Genomic DNA, 16,498 nt, shown 5'->3' with positions numbered 1-16,498 from the left:
TAAAAATACAAAAATTAGCCGGGTGTGGTGGTGGGCGCCTATAATCCCAGCTATTCGGGAGGCTGAGGCAGGAGATTGCTTGAACCCAGGAGAGGGAGTTTGCAGTGAGCCGAGATCGTGCCACTGCACTCCAGCCTGGGGGACAGAGCGCAGTGGTTCATGCCTGTAATCCCAGCACTTTGGGAGGCAGAGGAGGGCGGATCACCTGAGGTCGGGAGCTCGAGACCAGCCTGACCAACATGGAGAAACCCCATCTCTACTAAAAATACAAAATTAGCCGGGCGTGGTGGCGCATGCCTGTAATCCCAGCTACTCGGGAGGGTGAGGCAGGAGAATCGCTTGAACCCGCAAGGCGGAGGTTTTAATGAGCCGAGATCCCCCCATTGCACTCCAACCTGGGCAACAAAAGGGAAACTGTCTCAAAAAAAAAAAAGAGTTATGACACATATAAGGCAAGTGGAACTTTGAACATTTATTACACGTTTAATAATATTTCAAAATTATTGATAATTCTTTTGGATGTGATAAGCTTTGTAATTGTCTTTTAATGAGCTCTCATCTTGGAGAGATACATTCTGAAATATTTACAGAAGAAATAATCCGATGCCTGAGATCAGCTTCAAAAGAACTCAGGATGGGGCAGGGACGGGTTGTAGGTAGTCGGTAGTCAGGGTACTGGGTACACGGATGTTCTTTGTACTGTTCTTTGGTCTGTTGCGCAGGTTCGAAATGCTTCCTAATTAAAAAGCCTAAAAAGGGACTTGGCAAGCTCCCATCCAGACTTCAACCCCACAATATGGAGAGCACTCAGGTCCGAGGCGTTCCTGCTCCCCAGCTCCCTGCAAAAATAGCGCCAGGCAAGGTCCGAGGCGAGGGCGATGCTTCCATGAGGGTCCCGCCGACTGCGTCGCGATCCTCAATGGCTCAGCGACTTGCGGCCCTTGAGCATTCGGCGAAGGATGACCTGCACGCCGGCCGGCGTGCTCAGGCGCCGGACCCAGCCGTGCTTGTTCTTGCGTTTGATGTTGCTCGGCTGATACTCATTCCCGCGAGCCTTGCCCCGGGCCTGCTGCGGGGTGGGGAGGCCCCAGGCGTCTGGGAACCCCAGCCAGGCCCGGGGCTGGAGCCACCTGCGTGGGTAGAGGGACGGCGAGAAAGGTCAGACGGGGCGCTGGGTGACCTTGGCGCTCAACCTCTCTGAGCCTCGGCTCCCGGAGACAGAGCCTGGCTGCAAAATGCGCAAGGCACTGGCAGGTCACGCGGGCAGTGAAGAGTGGCGCCAGCCTCCGAAGCCGCCCTTATTCCCTGATTTGGGGAAGGGTCCCCCTGAGGACTTACCTGCCACCCAGCAACGCTGCCGACCTACTCGTGGGGCCCAACAGGGATCCAGCCAAGACAGCCATATCCGCAGTGGGTCCCGCAGTACCGGCTGCGGGCGATTCCGGAGCCCAGAGCCGCTCCAGCCCTGGAACAAAGGATTATGGGAAATGTAGTTTCTCCTAACGTGCAAAAAAGAGGCCGTTGGGGAAAACCCTGAAGTTGTAGTTCTGCGCCTGCGCAACAGAGGCGCGCCAGTCTATATCCGCGGGGCACAGGGATGCTCTGCATACACACCAACAGGTAGCCGGCGAACGGCGCCTTCTGAGCAAGCGCGTGCGCACAAGGCATTATCTCCCGCGGTCAGCTGGCAGCTGAGCTGTAGTTCTCTCTCCTATTGACCGGCAGAGGGTGCCCCGCGGTGGCCGGGCGCAGCTGGTGGCAGCTGCAGGAAGCGGCTGGTTGGTCTTCCCGCCCCCAGCGGGAGCTGGGCAGATGGCACACAGCTGGCTGGCAGCTTGTCCTGGCTGCAGCCAAGTCTCCGCCTCTTGGCAGGAAGCCGAGGAGGCCTGAGTTCAAGCTCGCTGCGTGTCCTTGGGGTGGTCCCTGCGCCACTCTGGGCTTTCTCAATCTGTAAACTCAGGGATTGCAAGCTTGTCTTTGGCAATCTTGCCCCCATTTTGGGCCCTAGAAGAATTCTCCTCTGTTGTTAGAACCAAAAAAAAAAAAAAAAAAAAGGAAGAAAAATTTTCTGATACTCAGATCTGAACCCCTCCCCTACTCACACACTATCCTTGGCTCCCCATTTCCCCAGGTAAAACCTGCTCAGCCCTTCCATCAGGCATGCAAAACCCTCTACACACACCATCTTACATTTCAGCCACACTCTCCTCTCTGCCTGGTGTTCCCCTATCCGCCCTTTAAAAATCCTTTCCTCTCCAAGGGCTGAGTGAGGTGTGGCTCATGCCTGTAATTCCAGCATTTTGGGAGGCTGAGGAGGGAGGATCCCTTGGGGCCAGGAGTTTGAGACCAGCCTGGGGACATGGTAGCAACCACCTATAGTCTCAAGTACTTGAAGGTGAGGTGGGAGGATTCCCTGAACCCAGGAGATCCAGGCTGTAGTGAGCAATGATAGCGCCAATGCACTGCAGCCTGGGCAACGGAGTGAGATCCTTTCTCAAAAAAAAAAGGAGTCGTCTTCTCTCAACCGCTGTCCATTCTTCTGGCCCGACTGCTTTCCCTTGACTCTCCCCCAAGTTCAAGGGCTCCTCAAGGGCCAGGGGCCTGGGGCTGTATCCCTACAAGTGCCAGCTTGGGGTTCATGCAGAGAGGTGTTTGCTAAATGAATAAACTGTATAGTCTCCCAGAAGTGCCCTTAGTGGGCAAGAGTAGGTGTCTGGACGGAATCCAGCTCTGGCAGCAAATTCCAGGGGATGTGAGTGGCCAAGCAGCAAGGAGCATTTAACCCCTCGTCCTCCGAAGCCCATCCTACCTGTAGCATCGTTTAGCAAAACATCACCACTATAATAATGCCCATAATATATGGAGCATTTGTTATATGCACGACACTATGATGAGTGCTTTACCTGCGTAGCAAACTTATGAGAGGATTAATTTCATAGAGAAATAAACGGAGGCTCAGGAAAGTGAAGTAACTTGCCCGAGGTCACACATCAGCAAAGGGCAGAGGCTGGATTTGAGACCTGAGCTCTCCTGAGGGCCTACCATGGCCCCGCCGGTACCACAGAGCTGGGATGCCTGCCTCTTGCTATCAGCCCTTCTCAGAACCATGGCAGCCATGGGTTAAATCGGCTGATTATGAAATTCAAACTCTCTAATTACCCACAGCTCCAAGACTTTCCTTGAAAGCTTTAGAGAAGCCCGTCACGATGGCTCACGCCAGTGATCTCAGCCCTTTGGGAGGCCGTAGACGAGAGGATTGCTTGATGCCCAGAGTTCGAGACCAGTCTGGGCAAGATAGCGAGACCTCGTCCCTACCAAAAGAAAAGGGGGGGGCGTAGGGGGGAGGTTAGCAAATAATGGTTCCCAGGGTTTGGAATCACACAGCCTTGGGTTCAAGTCCCAGCTTTGCTCCTTGCTTGATTTATGCTCTTGTGCCCTTTATGAGCCTCAGTTTCCCCACCGGAGATTGGAAAAAGATCTTGGAGTCTCTGCTTCTAGAATGGAAAGGTCAATACAGAGAGAAGAGTATGGGGGCCTCGTTTGGAGAGGAACAGGGCAATTGGGAGGCAGGGGCTGGGGGGCAAGGGCTTGGGAGACCCATTTGCAGAGAGAGGGCCCCGGCCGCACACTCCCAGGCGTCCCGCAGACCCTAGACTGCAACCCCCTTCTCCGCCTTGAGCCAGGCCCCATCCCTCCCCCAACCTCGGTGAACCCCCAAAAGGGGCGGGGCCGTTGCTCCCAGAGCCCGCCTCCACTACGGAATTGCCGCCTCTCATTGGGCTCCTAACTAGGCCAGGTCAGTCCGCAGCTGCGATAGGCCGAAGTGCCCGCCCGTCGGCACGTGGCTCCGCCTACTCGGGGGAGGAACTTAAAGGGCCGGCTGTTTCGGCGGCCGCGGGATGCCCCTGCGCTGACCGCCAGGGGCAGGTGCCCGCCCGCGTAGACGCACCCGGCCTGACCCCGCGCCACCATGTAAACGGCGCCAGCAGGCGGACGCTGGCTTCTCCGCCTGGGACCCCTCCGCCCCGACCCGGGCCCCGCGGCCCTCGATGAGGTGAGCGGGGAACGGGCCCCAAAAGGAGAGATCGAAGCCCCGGGGCCTCCACTTCGGAGGAGTGGTGTCCACCAACCCCGCGTTTGGGCTCGTAGGAAGCCACGGAGCCCCAGTGGGCTCGACCCCGCTGCAGGGATGACGAACACCTGGAAGGCGGGGGCCGGGGGCGGGGAAGCGGGGCTGGGGTGGCGCCTGTGCGTTGCCCTCCACAATCCGGGATTAGGGCCCCACTCGAGGTGGGGGGCATGGCCTGCTTCCCCTCCAGTATGTCTGGGGCCACTGCGGCTCAGTCTCGGGCGTGCGTTACCTTAGCGGCGCCCAACCTGGGGTAGGGGGCAGGCAGGCAGCTGGTCCCATCTCCAGGCCCTAGACACCTCGACAATGGGGGTGCACTGCTCGGGTATCCCCCCCTTAGGTTATGTAACCGCCTGTGGTTGCCATGGACACGGGGGCGGGGGTGGCCCAAGGAGTGGGATGGAGGCTTGGAGGCCCCCAGCCAGGGCCCTGCCTCTCCCATCCTCTTCGCCACCTCTGGGGACTTGTATAGCAGATCCCCAGAATCCAGGGTGCCAAGGAGGAAGTTCAGAGTCTAGCTTCCTCTCAGAGTGTCTGGGCCTCAGCTTGGCCCTCTATGAAACAGACCCCGGCTCACCCCGGTCTAGGGGAGCTGAGCAAGGCTTTCTGTGGCTCAGTCCCCATCCCCCTCTCCTAGGGCCTCACCTTTCAGGAGTCAAATTCAGAGCCAGGAGCCTCACTGGGGGCTCACCAAAGATTTGCATATTTTAGATGCCTTAGGAGGCCCTGGGGATATGTGAGTTAGTGAGTGCATACCTGGATGAGTTAGTGAGTTAGTGTATACCTGAATGAATGAGTTAGTGTATACCTGAATGGATGAGTTAGTGTATACCTGAATGAATGAGTTAGGAGGCCATAAATGGTATAAACTCCAGCTGGGGGGAGGGGGTGTCTTCCGGCTGGTCCACATTTGCCACAATGTCCCCTTCTCCAGGAACATCCCCACACAAGACGCCACCACCTTCCCTGTGGACACCCTGTGGGGTAAGCCATAGCCAAGTCTTTCTCTCTGAGGATAGACTAGGGTGACCCAGGAGGGTAACTACCACAAAGGCACTGCTCAGACAAAACATGTCAGTGCACGGTGGCTCACACCTATAATCCCAGCACTTTGGGAGGCCGAAGCAGGAGGAAAATTTGAGGTCAGGAGTTCAAGACCAGCCTGGCCAACATGGTGAAACCCCATCTCTACAAAAAATACAAAAATTAGCTAGACATGGTGGCACCTGCCTATAATCCCAGCTACTCAGGAGGCTGAGGCAAGAGAATCGCTTGAACCCAGGAGGGGGAGGTTGCAGTAAGCCGAAATCCGGCCACTGCCCTCCAGCCTGGATGACAAAGCGAGACTGTCTCAAAAACACACACACACACACACACACACACACACACAAACAAAAAAATCTCAGTGCCGTGGCTCACTTGATCTGGCGCTCCCCAAACTGGAGTCTAAAACAGTTCTCCCAAGGCTCAGGGAGTGCCTGCTGCACGGTGCAGGGTTCTCATTGAGACAGCACCTGAACTGGCTGCTGTCCTCACTCACAGGACACACCATGCTGACCGGGGTGACCGACGGTATCTTCTGTTGCCTGCTGGGCACGCCCCCCAACGCCGTGGGGCCACTGGAGAGCGTCGAGTCCAGCGATGGCTACACCTTTGTAGAGGTCAAGCCCGGCCGCGTGCTGCGGGTGAAGCATGCAGGACCCGCCCCAGCCGCTGCCCCACCTCCACCATCATCCGCATCCTCGGATGCAGCCCAGGGGGACCTCTCCGGCTTGGTCCGCTGTCAGCGCCGGATCACCGTGTACCGCAATGGGCGGTTGCTGGTGGAAAACCTGGGCCGAGCCCCTCGAGCCGACCTCCTACACGGGCAGAATGGCTCTGGGGAGCCGCCGGCCGCCCTGGAGGTGGAGCTGGCAGATCCGGCGGGCAGCGATGGCCGCTTGGCCCCCGGCAGCGCAGGCAGCGGCAGCGGCAGTGGCAGTGGTGGGCGGCGGCGGCGAGCCAGGCGCCCCAAGAGGACCATCCATATTGACTGTGAGAAGCGCATCACTAGCTGCAAAGGCGCCCAGGCCGACGTGGTGCTCTTTTTCATCCATGGTGTCGGCGGTTCCCTGGCCATCTGGAAGGAGCAGCTGGACTTCTTTGTGCGCCTAGGCTATGAGGTGGTGGCTCCTGACCTGGCCGGCCACGGGGCCAGCTCTGCGCCCCAGGTGGCCGCAGCCTACACCTTCTATGCGCTGGCTGAGGACATGCGAGCAATCTTCAAGCGCTATGCCAAGAAGCGAAATGTGCTCATTGGCCATTCCTACGGGTAAGTGAACCCTGGCATGTGGGGTGGGGGTGAGGGATGGGGTCAGCAGGGACTACAGTCACAAAATACTGAGTTTTTGGCTGAGCCCCGTGGCTCACGCCTGTAATCCCAGCACTTTGGGAGGCCGAGGCAGGCGGATCACCTGAGGTTGGGAGTTCGGGAACAGTCTGGCCAAGGTGGTGAAACCCCGTCTCTACCAAAAATACAAAAATTAGCCAGACGTGGTGGCACGCGCCTGTAGTCCCAGCTACTCGGGAGGCTGAGGCAGAGGAATCACTTGAACCGAGGAGGTGGAGGTTGCAGTGAGCCGAGATTGTGTCACTGCACTCCAGCCTGGGCGACAGAGGGAGACTCTGAGATGCCACTGACACCTGTAATCCCAGTGCTTTCGGGGGCCAAGGCGGGAGGATATCTTGAGGCAAGGAGTTTGAGACCAGCCTGGGCAACATAGGGAGAACCCCCTAGCTCTACAAAAAGTACAAACATTAGCTAGGTGAGGAGGTGCACGCATATAGTTCCACCTACTTAAGGGCTGAGGCAGGAGATTGCTTGAGTCTGGGAGGTCGAGGCTGCAGTGAACTGTGATCACACCACTGCACTCCAGCCTGGGCAGCATGGCAAGAACCTGTCGCTCTTTAAAAAAGAAAAAAAAATCCGGGCGCGGTGGCTCACGCCTGTAATCCCAGCACTTTGGGAGGCTGAGGCGGGCGGATCACGAGGTCAGAAGATTGAGACCATCCTGGCTAACACGGTGAAACCCTGTCTCTACTAAAAATACAAAAAATTAGCTGGGTGTGGTGGTGGGCACCTATAGTCCCAGCTACTCGGGAGGCTGAGGCAGGAGAATGGCATGAGCACGGGAGACGGAGCTTGCAGTGAGCCAAGATCATATTGTGCCACTGCACTCCAGCCTGGGCGACAGAAGGAGACTCCGTCATGAAAAAAAAAAAAGGGGCCACCACGCGCGGTGGTGCACATTTGTAATCCCAGCACTTTGTGGATGGATCATTGGAGATGAGTTTGGACAACATGGCAAAACCTTATCTCCTAAAACAAAACAAAGCAAACAAAAATCCTAATTTTTCTCCTTGAAAAAAATCCCATTTTTCAATTTAATTTTTACATTTTTAAAATTTTTTTTTCTTTTAAATAGAGATGGCATCTCACTATGTTGCCCAAGATGTTCTTTAACTACTGGGCTCAAGTGATCCTTGCACCTCAGCCTCCCAAAGTGCTAGGACTACAGGTGTGAGTCATTGTGCTCAGCCTTAATTTTTTTTTTTTTTTTTTTTTTTGAGATGGAGTCTCACTCTGTCCCCCAGGCTGGAGTGCAGTGGCGTGATCCTGGCTCACTGCAAGCTCCACCTCCCAGGTTCATGCCATTCTCCTGCCTCAGCCTCCCTAGTAGCTGGGACTACAGGCACCCGCTACCATGCCTGGCTAATTTTTTGTCTTTTTAGTACAGACGGGGTTTCACCGTGTTAGCCAGGATGGTCTCGATCTCCTGACCTCGTGATTCGCCCTCCTCGGCCTCCCAAAGCGCTGGGATTACAGGCGTGAGCCAACGCACCAGGCCAATTTTCAAGTTCAAAAAAAAATTATATAGAGAATGGGGGGGGGGTCTCATTATGTTGCCCAGGCTGGTCTTGAACTCCTGGGCTCAAGCCATCCTCCCTCCTTGGCCTCCCGATGTGGTGGGGTAACAGGCATGAGCCGCTATACCAGGCTGAAAACTCCCATTAGCATATGTAATCAGACAGGGATTTCCGTCATCACTGATATTGTTTCACATTGTTCTAAAGCAGTGTTGCTCAGGCCAGGTGCAGTGGCTTACGCCTGTAATCCTAGCACTTTAGGAAGCCAAAGCAGGCAGATCACTTGAGGTCAGGAGTTCAACACCAGTTTGGCCAACATGGTGAAACCCCATCTCTACTAAAAGTACAAAAAATTAACCAGGCATGATGGTGTGTGCCTGTAATCCCAGCTACTCGGGGGTGTGAGGCAGGAGAATCACTTGAACCTGGGAGGCAGAGGTTGCAGTGAGCCAAGATCACACCACTGCACTCCAGCCTGAGCAACAGAGTGAGACTCTGCCCAAAAAAAAAAAAAAAAAAAAAAAAGCAGTGTTGTTCAATCCCAGCACTATCGTGTTTGGCCAGGTTATTTTTTTTCTGTGAGGGGCTATAGGATGTTTAGTAGCATCCCTGGCTTCTGCCCACTGGATGCAACTACACAATCTAGTGTTGATCATGACAGTCAAAAATGTCTTCAGTAGTTGCCAAGCGTGCCCTGGTGGGCAGAATTACCCCCAGCTGAGAACCACTGCCTTAGACTAAGTTAAAAAATCAACTGCCCTGGAGAACACTGTGCATTCAGGAAGCGCTCATCGGAATCCTGTAAATTCTAGGCATTTACAAAGGCATGGGTTACTGTAATTCACTCCTGCTTAAAGGGCAGGTAATACAACCTAAAACTTACCAAGAACCCCTCCATGGAAGGCTTGGTCCCCAGGGCTTGACCACTACCAAGTGGCCTCATTCTCTCCTTTATCCAGGAAGAAAGGCAAGATTGAACAGCCAGGCAAGTTGAGCACCACTGTTTTAGAGATTCTAGCCTATGCAATTAGACAAGAAAAAAAGGCCAGGCGTGGTGGCTCACACCTGTAATCCCAGCAATTTGGGAGGCCGAGGCGGGCGGATCAGGAGGTCAGGAGATCAAGACCATCCTGGCTAACACGGTGAAACCCCGTCTCTACTAAAAAATACAAAAAAAAATTAGCCAGGCATGGTGGCAGGCGCCTGTAGTCCCAGCTACTCAGGAGGCTGAGGCAGGAGAATGGCGTGCACCCAGGAGGTGGAGCTTGCAGTGAGCCGAGATTGTGCCACTGCACTCCAGCCTGGGTGACAGAGTGAGACTCCATCTCAAAAAAAAAAAAAAAGAAAAAAGAAAAATAAATAAGTGGCCAGGTGTGGTGGCTTACACCTATAATCCCAACACTTTGGGAAGCTGAGGTGGGAGGACTGCTATAGCTGAGGAGTTCAAGACCAACCTGGGCAACATAAGCAAGATCTCATCTCTACAAAAAACTAAAAAGTAAAAAAAAAAAAAAAAGAAAAGAAAACAAAGAAGTTACATAAGTATCTAAAAGAAAGGAATCTAGACTGAGAGGTAACAGCTCTTATTTGTTTATATTTCTTTATATAACATACTCAAAAGTTGATGCTTATGAGAAATGATTCCTCTAATTAAATGAGCACCCACCTGCTGGGCACAGTGGTTCACACCTGTAATCCCAGAACTTTTGGAGGCCGAGGCAGGCGGATCACAAGGTCAGGAGTTCAAGACCAGCCTGGCCAAAATGGTGAAACCCCGTCTCTAATAAAAATACAAAAAGTAGCTGGGTATGGTTGCAGGTGCCTATAATCCCAGCTACTTGGGAGGCTGAGGCAGGATAATCATTCGAACCCATGAGGTGGGGGTTGCAGTGAGCCGAGATCGCACCATTGCACTCCAGCCTGAGTGACAGAGCAAGACTCTGTCTCGAGAAAAAAACAAAAAAACAAAAAAAACACCCACCTACAATAGTTCCCATGACCCCATAACAGTGCTATTAGGTCAGCACATTTACAACTTCAGGAATGTGGAGGCTGAAGCTCAGAGAGGTGAAGCAACCTGCCCAAAGGCATACAGGAAGTCCCTGACACAATCAGGTCTGCCTGACTCCTGTCTGTATCCTTTCCTCATTACAGCAGGGGCTGGCAAACATTTCCTTAAAGGATCGGATAGCGAATATTTTAGGTTTGCAGGCCATACAGTCACTGTTGGAACTTCTGATAAAACTTTATTTAGGAAACATTTTTTGGCCAGGCACGGTGGCTCACGCCTCTAATCCCAGCACTTTGGGAGGCCAAGGTGGGCAGATCACCTGAGGTCGGGAGTTCAAGACCAGCCTGACTAACACGGTGAAACCCCGTCTCTACTAAAAATACAAAAATTAGCCGGGCATAATGGCAGATGCCTGTAATCCCAGCTACTCGGGAGGCTGAGACAGGAGAATCACTTGAACCCGGGAGGCGGAGGTTGCAGTGAGCCGAGATCGCGCCACTGTGCTCCAGCGTGGGCAACAGAGCAGGACTCCATCTCAAAAAAAAAAAAAAAAACCTTATTTAGGAAACATTTTTCAAATCTCCAAAAGTGTAAACTGTATTTAAAAAAGCAAATGACTAGCCCACAGGCCGTACATAGTTTGTTGACCCCTGCTTTTGTAGGAATGAGGAGCTCAGCTTTGGGGGCTTCTCAGGCCTTCCATCTTGTATAAGGAAGACAGATATGTCATGCCCAGAGGCAGGTGGCAGAACATCCTGAAAGGGAAGGGATAGTAGGAAACAGTGACCTCCCCTGGGCAGCCGGAAGCATTTGTTTAATCAGATTGCTTTCCTACCACTTGCTGATGAGTAATTCTTACCGCTTTTGGGTCATGGTGGCTTGAAGAATCTGATGAGGGCCGGGCACAGTGGCTCATATCTATAATCTTAACACTTTGGAAGGCCAAGGTGGAAGGATCACTTGAGCCCAGAAGTTCAAGACCAGCCTGGGCAACATAGTGAGACCCCCATCTCTACAAAAATTTTAAACAATTAAAATAAAAAGTCTGGTGAAACTTCTGGATCCAGATTCTCTCTTCAAAATAAGTTCCATCCTCAACACTCAAACTCACACTTTCACGGTATTTGAGAGGCCGCACTCATCCCTCACCCCTTCAGGTGTCCATGGACCCCAGGGGAAGAATCTTGGCTTCCAAGGACCTGCCTTCTGGGTAGGGGGAGGACATGAACCCCCTCACCAGGCCGGGTGTCACGGCTCACGCCTATAATCCCAGCACTTTGGGAGGTTAAGGCCAGAGGATCACTTGAGCCCAGGAGTTCAAGACCAGCCTGGGCAACATAAGGAGACCCTGTCTTTATAAAAAAATTTTTAAAAATTAGCTGAGCATGGTGGCACATGCCTGTAGTCCCAGCTATTCAGAAGGCTGAGGTGGGAGGATCTCTTGAGCCCAGGAAGTCAAGGCTGCAGGGAGCTATGATTACGCCACCGCACCACTCCAGCCTAGGCGACAGCGAAACCTTGTCTCAAAAACAAAAACAAAACAGGCCAGCCCAGTGGCTCATGCCTGTAATCCCCGCACTTTGGGAAGCCAAGGTGGGTGGATCACTTGAGGTCAGGAGTTCTCGACCAGCCTGAGCAACATGCTGAAACCCTGTGTCTACTAAAAAATACAAAAATTAGCCAGGTGTGGTGGTGCATGCCTGTACTCCCAGCTACTCGGGAGGCTGAGGAAGGAGAATCAGTTGAACCCAGGAGGCAGAGGTTGCAGTGAGCTGAGATTGCATCACTGTACTCCAACCTGGGCAACAGAATGAGACTCCATCTCAAAAACAAAAACAAACCAGGCCAGGCGCAGTGGCTCAGGCCTGTAATCCCAGCACTTTGGGAGGCCGAGGCGGATGGATCACTTGAGGTCAGGAATTTGAGACCAGCCCGACCAACATGGTGAAACCCCATCTCTACTAAAAATACAAAAAATTAGCCGGGCGCGGTGGCGGGCGCCTGTAGTCCCAGCTACTCGGGAGGCTGAGGCAGGAGAATGGCGTGAACCCGGGAAGCGGAGCTTGCAGTGAGCCGAGATTGCGCCACTGCAGTCCGCAGTCCGGCCTGGGCGACAGAGCGAGACTCCGTCTCAAAAAAAAAAAAAAAAAAAAAAAAAATTACCTGGGTGTGGTGGTGTGCGCCTGCAATCTCAGCTACTCGGGAGACTGAGGCAGGAGAATCGCTTGAACCTGGGAGGCAGAGGTTGCAGTGAGCCAAGATGGAGCCACTGCATTCCAGCCTGGGGGACAGAGTAAAACTGTCTCAAACAAAAACAAAAACAAAGCAAAACAAAATGGTCACTGCTTGTATCCTGCTGACCGCCTCCCTTCAATCCTCCTATCACCCCACCCGTTCCGGGCAGTGTCTCTTTCTGCACATTCCTGGCACATGAGTACCCAGACCTAGTGCACAAGGTGATCATGATCAATGGCGGGGGCCCTACGGCGCTGGAGCCCAGCTTCTGCTCAATCTTCAACATGCCCACCTGCGTCCTGCACTGCTTGTCGCCCTGCCTGGCCTGGAGCTTCCTCAAGTGAGTGTCCCCACCCCAAAGACCGTGATCCTGGCCCTGGCGAACCCAGGCATCTGCTCGAGTTGGATGGGAGGGGGGACTGTACCGCTGGGACTAGGGCTGGCATCGGGGGCACCCCACGGCAGTCGGGCTGGCATAAGGGGCTCTAGCGGTGCCTCCACCACCACCAGGGCCGGCTTCGCCCGCCAAGGAGCCAAGGAGAAGCAGCTGTTAAAGGAGGGCAACGCTTTCAACGTGTCATCCTTCGTACTCCGGGCCATGATGAGCGGCCAGTACTGGCCCGAGGGCGACGAGGTCTACCACGCCGAGCTCACCGTGCCCGTCCTGCTTGTCCACGGCATGCACGATAAGTTTGTGCCGGTGGAGGAAGACCAGCGCATGGCCGAGGTAGAGGCGGGCACCTGGGGCGCCACAGCTACAAATCCCCAGGGTGCTGCCCGGGAGGGGCGTGGCCTCTGCGGGGGGCGTGGTAGCGCTTGGTGGGCGTGCTTTCTTCCCGAGGGGGCGTGGCTGCCGGGTGGGCGTGGCCTCTAGTTGCTGTATCTTGTTCTGACCCCAGGCAAACAGGAGCATTAGGTCTAGCATCAGAAGTAGAATCTAGAAAGCAGGGCTGCCCTGGACAGGTGTTAGCAATTACGCACTGTCCCCACCGCTGTAAGAAGGCTCTCCTCACAGCGGAGGATTTGTATGAGACCGGTGACCTATATAATTCTAGAAGACCGGCACCAGGGGATCTTTAGATTAGAAACTCTAATTAGCGAGTTCAGATTAGAAAGGGTCTGGGGATCCTTAGCACTTAGAATAGCCCTGGATACTAGCCCGGCGAGGTGGTTCACGCCAATAATCGCTGCAACTTGGGAGGCTGAGTGGGGCGGATCGCTTGAACCCAGGAGTTCAAGGCTGTGGTGAGCCATGCTCGCACCACTGCACTCCAGCCTGGGCGACAGAGCAAGACCCCGTTTCTTAAAGAAAAAAAAAAAAAAACAAAAACCATTAAAGTATAACTGGACTGGTGGTTCTTAACTAAGGAGGATTCTGCCCCCAAGGAACACGTGGAAATGCATGGAGACATTTTTAGGTGTCACGACTGAGGGGGAGGGGGTACTACTGGCATCTAGTGGGTGGAGGCCAGGGATGCTGCTCAACACCCTACAAATGCACAGGATAGCAGCCCCCACCCCAGCTACCCGCCCCTTCCCCGCCCACCCCCGCCCCCCCAGCAAAGAATGATCCAGCTCCTAATGTTGGTAGAGTTGAAGTTGACAAAATCCTCCTCCAGGCCGGGCGCGGTGGCTCACTCCTGTAATCCCAGCACTTTGGGAGACCGAGGCGGGCAGATCGCCTGAGGTCAGGAGTTGGAGATCAGCCTGACAAACATGGCGAAACCCCGTCTCTACTAAAAATACAAAAAATTAGCCGGGTGTAGTGGCGCGTGCCTGTAATCCCAGCTACTTGGGAGGCTGAGGCAAGAGAATCGCTTGAAGCCGGGAGGCAGAGGTTGGAGTGAGCCGAGATTACGCCACTGCACTCCAGCCTGGGTGACAGAGCAAGACTCTGTCTCAAAAAAAAAAAAAAAGAAAGAAAAGAAAAAAAGAAGAAAATCCTTCTCCTGGCATACTGTAGACACTTAATAAATGCTGGATGCCTGAATACTAGTTGGGTTCCAGCAGGGCTACAGGCCATCCTCCAGCTCCCCCTTGAGTGGAAGTGGAGAGATGCAGGGTAGATGGGAGGAGGGACTTTTGGATGCTGTGGGCCATGTGTGTATGGCGGAGTCCCAGGGAAGCCTGGCCTCTCTCCACCCTCTTGCCCCCGCCTACCTTGAGCCCTGCGTCTTCTGCAGATCCTGCTCCTGGCATTCCTGAAGCTCATCGACGAGGGCAGCCACATGGTGATGCTGGAATGCCCTGAGACGGTCAACACGCTGCTCCACGAATTCCTGCTCTGGGAGCCCGAGCCCTCGCCCAAGGCTCTACCGGAGCCACTGCCGGCGCCTCCAGAAGACAAGAAGTAGCCGCTGGGCCGGCGGGGCATCGCTTGGTGAGCACAGCCGCAGCAGGAGGAGGCCCGAGCCTGCGCCAGGTCTGCAGCGCAGACCACCTGGGCGGGCCGTTCGCTCCGGTGGGCGGGGCCAGGTCAGGGAGACGCCCCCAGGCTGCCTGGGCGGGGCGTGGCATCCGAGGGAGCCCAGCGGACATTCCGCTCTCCGCTTCCGTCCCGCGGGGCCCATCGGCGTTTTGGGGCCGCAGCCGGGACCCTCACGGAAGATGACCTTGTACAGAAGCTCTCCCTCACCTTCCCCCCAACGCCACGGCCAAGGCAGGCCCCCCACCCCGCTGTCTTCCGTGTCAGCCGTGCTTGATCCTGGGACCCACGAGCCCCACAGGGACCCTCGAGGCCCCATCCCGTTATCCGAGACCCTTCCTACCCCCCATTCCTCGGCGCTGGGAGCTATTTTTGCCCAAGGGGGGGGGATGGGGGGGCTGGCGCCACCGAACCTGCACATCTCAACTTGTAACTCAATAAACAGAAGTGACAATCGGAGTCTCCGGACCTGTGCTGGGTGACCACAGGGCAGGGTGTTCGCCGCCTGGAGCCTCAGTTTTCCCATCTGCAGACTGGGCTCAGGCTGGTGCCTCGCGCTCAGGATCGACTTCGACAATGTCTGGTGTCCACGTTAGCTTCCTGAATTTCCCCTCGTACCTCAGAAGGCTGAGGCTCCTTGGACAGTATCCCCCAGGGCAGGAGGCAACTTATCAAGAGGTGACCCCGGCCGGACGTGGTGACTCACGCCTGTAATCCCAGCACTTTGGGAGGCCGAGGAGTATCGCCTGAGGTCAGGAGTTCGAGAACAGCCTGGCCAAAATGGTGAAACCCCGTCTCTATTTAAAAATGCAGACAGGCCAGGCGCGGTGGTTCACGCCTGTAATCCCAGCACTTTGGGAGGCAGAGGTGGGGGGATCACGAGGTCAGGAGATCGAGACCATCCTGGCTAACACAGTGAAACCCCGTCTCTAGTAAAAAATACAAAAAATTAGCTGGGCGTGGTGGCGGGCGCCTGTAGTCCCAGCTACTCGGGAGGCTGTGGCAGAAGAATGGCGTGAACCCGGGAGGCGGAAATTACAGTGAGCCGAGATCGTGCCACTGCACTCCAGCCTGGGTGACAGAGCGAGACTCCATCTAAAACAAACAAACAAACAACAACAACAACAACAACAAAAAACAAAGACAAGCCAGGAATGGTGGCACGCGCCTGTGGTCCCAGCTACTCGGGGAGCCTGAGGCAGGAGAATCGCTTGAACCCAGGAAGTGGAGGTTGCGGTCAGCTGAGATCGTACCACTGCACTCCAGCCTGCGCAACAAGGCGATACTCCTTCTCAAAAAAAAACGAGATGAGCCCTTCCCTGGCCGGAAGAGATCCAACCGAGGTTTAGGTGAAGATCAGTGGGTGTTGCATGGAATTAGAGCTGCCATAATTGAGTGCCCACTGTTTTCCAGGCTGTGTGTTGAATGCCTGCCACCCACTGGTTCATTGAATTCGACTCATCCAACCCCACCCAGCAAGTCAGGACCTTTTACTATTCCCGTGTTATATCTTTCAGCTTGGTTTAGGGCCACCTTTGTCAAGAAGACTTTTCTTTTGAAACCACCAAATCTGTCTTTTAGTTGGGTTTTGGTTTTGTTTTTGTTTGTTTGTTTGTTTGTTTTTTGAGACAGAGTCTCACTCTGTCGCCCAGGCTGGAGTGCAGTGGCACGATCTCGGCTCACTGCAACCTCCGCCCCCCGGGTTCAGGAAATTTTCCTGCCTCAGCCACTGGAGTAGCTGGGATTACAGGCTCCTGCCACTACGCCCAGCTAATTTTTGTATTTTTAGTAG

General features: G+C 54.5%; 2 protein-coding genes across 7 annotated transcripts, besides 10 other annotated features; one reads left to right on the top strand and one right to left on the bottom strand.

Moving 5' to 3' along the window:
- Positions 1–452: 452 nt before the first annotated feature.
- Positions 453–14,723, bottom strand: MRPL34 (mitochondrial ribosomal protein L34). 6 transcript variants are annotated; one of them, NM_001400073.1, is made up of 4 exons: positions 14,442–14,723; positions 8,919–8,984; positions 1,339–1,465; positions 453–1,130 (listed from the first exon to the last, which is right to left on the bottom strand). In NM_001400073.1, the coding sequence occupies exons 3-4, from the start codon at positions 1,401–1,403 to the stop codon at positions 917–919; spliced, it is 279 nt and encodes a 92-aa protein (NP_001387002.1). In that variant the 5' UTR covers positions 1,404–1,465; positions 8,919–8,984; positions 14,442–14,723; the 3' UTR covers positions 453–916. The 6 variants fall into 6 exon arrangements, with proteins under 6 accessions (NP_001387002.1, NP_001387001.1, NP_001369271.1 ...); NM_001400072.1 differs by lacking the exon at positions 8,919–8,984; NM_001382342.1 differs by lacking the exons at positions 8,919–8,984; positions 14,442–14,723 and adding an exon at positions 4,362–4,431.
- Positions 1,111–1,170: a silencer, noted in NCBI's record as "silent region_10337". NCBI's record gives its function as "represses an Ori minimal core promoter by ATAC-STARR-seq in GM12878 lymphoblastoid cells {active_cell/tissue: GM12878}" and the evidence as "EXISTENCE:reporter gene assay evidence [ECO:0000049][PMID:35858748]".
- Positions 1,401–1,480: an enhancer, noted in NCBI's record as "active region_14264". NCBI's record gives its function as "activates an Ori minimal core promoter by ATAC-STARR-seq in GM12878 lymphoblastoid cells {active_cell/tissue: GM12878}" and the evidence as "EXISTENCE:reporter gene assay evidence [ECO:0000049][PMID:35858748]".
- Positions 3,749–4,298: a silencer, noted in NCBI's record as "silent region_10336". NCBI's record gives its function as "represses an Ori minimal core promoter by ATAC-STARR-seq in GM12878 lymphoblastoid cells {active_cell/tissue: GM12878}" and the evidence as "EXISTENCE:reporter gene assay evidence [ECO:0000049][PMID:35858748]".
- Positions 3,871–15,165, top strand: ABHD8 (abhydrolase domain containing 8). The gene is made up of 5 exons (NM_024527.5): positions 3,871–4,054; positions 5,672–6,440; positions 12,451–12,621; positions 12,792–13,008; positions 14,465–15,165. The coding sequence occupies exons 2-5, from the start codon at positions 5,680–5,682 to the stop codon at positions 14,633–14,635; spliced, it is 1,320 nt and encodes a 439-aa protein (NP_078803.4). The 5' UTR covers positions 3,871–4,054; positions 5,672–5,679; the 3' UTR covers positions 14,636–15,165.
- Positions 4,682–4,976: a silencer, noted in NCBI's record as "tiled region #8409; K562 Repressive non-DNase unmatched - State 2:TssF". NCBI's record gives its function as "represses a minimal TATA promoter and a strong SV40 promoter by Sharpr-MPRA in K562 cells {active_cell/tissue: K562}" and the evidence as "EXISTENCE:reporter gene assay evidence [ECO:0000049][PMID:27701403]".
- Positions 5,334–5,834: an enhancer, noted in NCBI's record as "H3K4me1 hESC enhancer chr19:17412271-17412771 (GRCh37/hg19 assembly coordinates)". NCBI's record gives its function as "activates a minimal SCP1, AML or CMV promoter by ChIP-STARR-seq in naive and primed H9 embryonic stem cells {active_cell/tissue: H9 hESC(naive and primed)}" and the evidence as "EXISTENCE:reporter gene assay evidence [ECO:0000049][PMID:30033119]".
- Positions 5,835–6,335: an enhancer, noted in NCBI's record as "H3K4me1 hESC enhancer chr19:17411770-17412270 (GRCh37/hg19 assembly coordinates)". NCBI's record gives its function as "activates a minimal SCP1, AML or CMV promoter by ChIP-STARR-seq in naive and primed H9 embryonic stem cells {active_cell/tissue: H9 hESC(naive and primed)}" and the evidence as "EXISTENCE:reporter gene assay evidence [ECO:0000049][PMID:30033119]".
- Positions 12,294–12,842: an enhancer, noted in NCBI's record as "H3K27ac-H3K4me1 hESC enhancer chr19:17405263-17405811 (GRCh37/hg19 assembly coordinates)". NCBI's record gives its function as "activates a minimal SCP1, AML or CMV promoter by ChIP-STARR-seq in primed H9 embryonic stem cells {active_cell/tissue: H9 hESC(primed)}" and the evidence as "EXISTENCE:reporter gene assay evidence [ECO:0000049][PMID:30033119]".
- Positions 12,843–13,391: an enhancer, noted in NCBI's record as "H3K27ac-H3K4me1 hESC enhancer chr19:17404714-17405262 (GRCh37/hg19 assembly coordinates)". NCBI's record gives its function as "activates a minimal SCP1, AML or CMV promoter by ChIP-STARR-seq in primed H9 embryonic stem cells {active_cell/tissue: H9 hESC(primed)}" and the evidence as "EXISTENCE:reporter gene assay evidence [ECO:0000049][PMID:30033119]".
- Positions 14,531–14,620: an enhancer, noted in NCBI's record as "active region_14263". NCBI's record gives its function as "activates an Ori minimal core promoter by ATAC-STARR-seq in GM12878 lymphoblastoid cells {active_cell/tissue: GM12878}" and the evidence as "EXISTENCE:reporter gene assay evidence [ECO:0000049][PMID:35858748]".
- Positions 14,691–14,870: a silencer, noted in NCBI's record as "silent region_10335". NCBI's record gives its function as "represses an Ori minimal core promoter by ATAC-STARR-seq in GM12878 lymphoblastoid cells {active_cell/tissue: GM12878}" and the evidence as "EXISTENCE:reporter gene assay evidence [ECO:0000049][PMID:35858748]".
- Positions 15,166–16,498: the final 1,333 nt, after the last annotated feature.

The sequence above is a fragment of the Homo sapiens genome, chromosome 19, assembly GCF_000001405.40.
Source record: "Homo sapiens chromosome 19, GRCh38.p14 Primary Assembly".
NCBI lineage: Eukaryota > Metazoa > Chordata > Mammalia > Primates > Hominidae > Homo > Homo sapiens.
The sequence above is the reverse complement of the archived record's forward strand: the minus strand, read 5'-3'. Positions and strand labels throughout refer to the sequence as shown.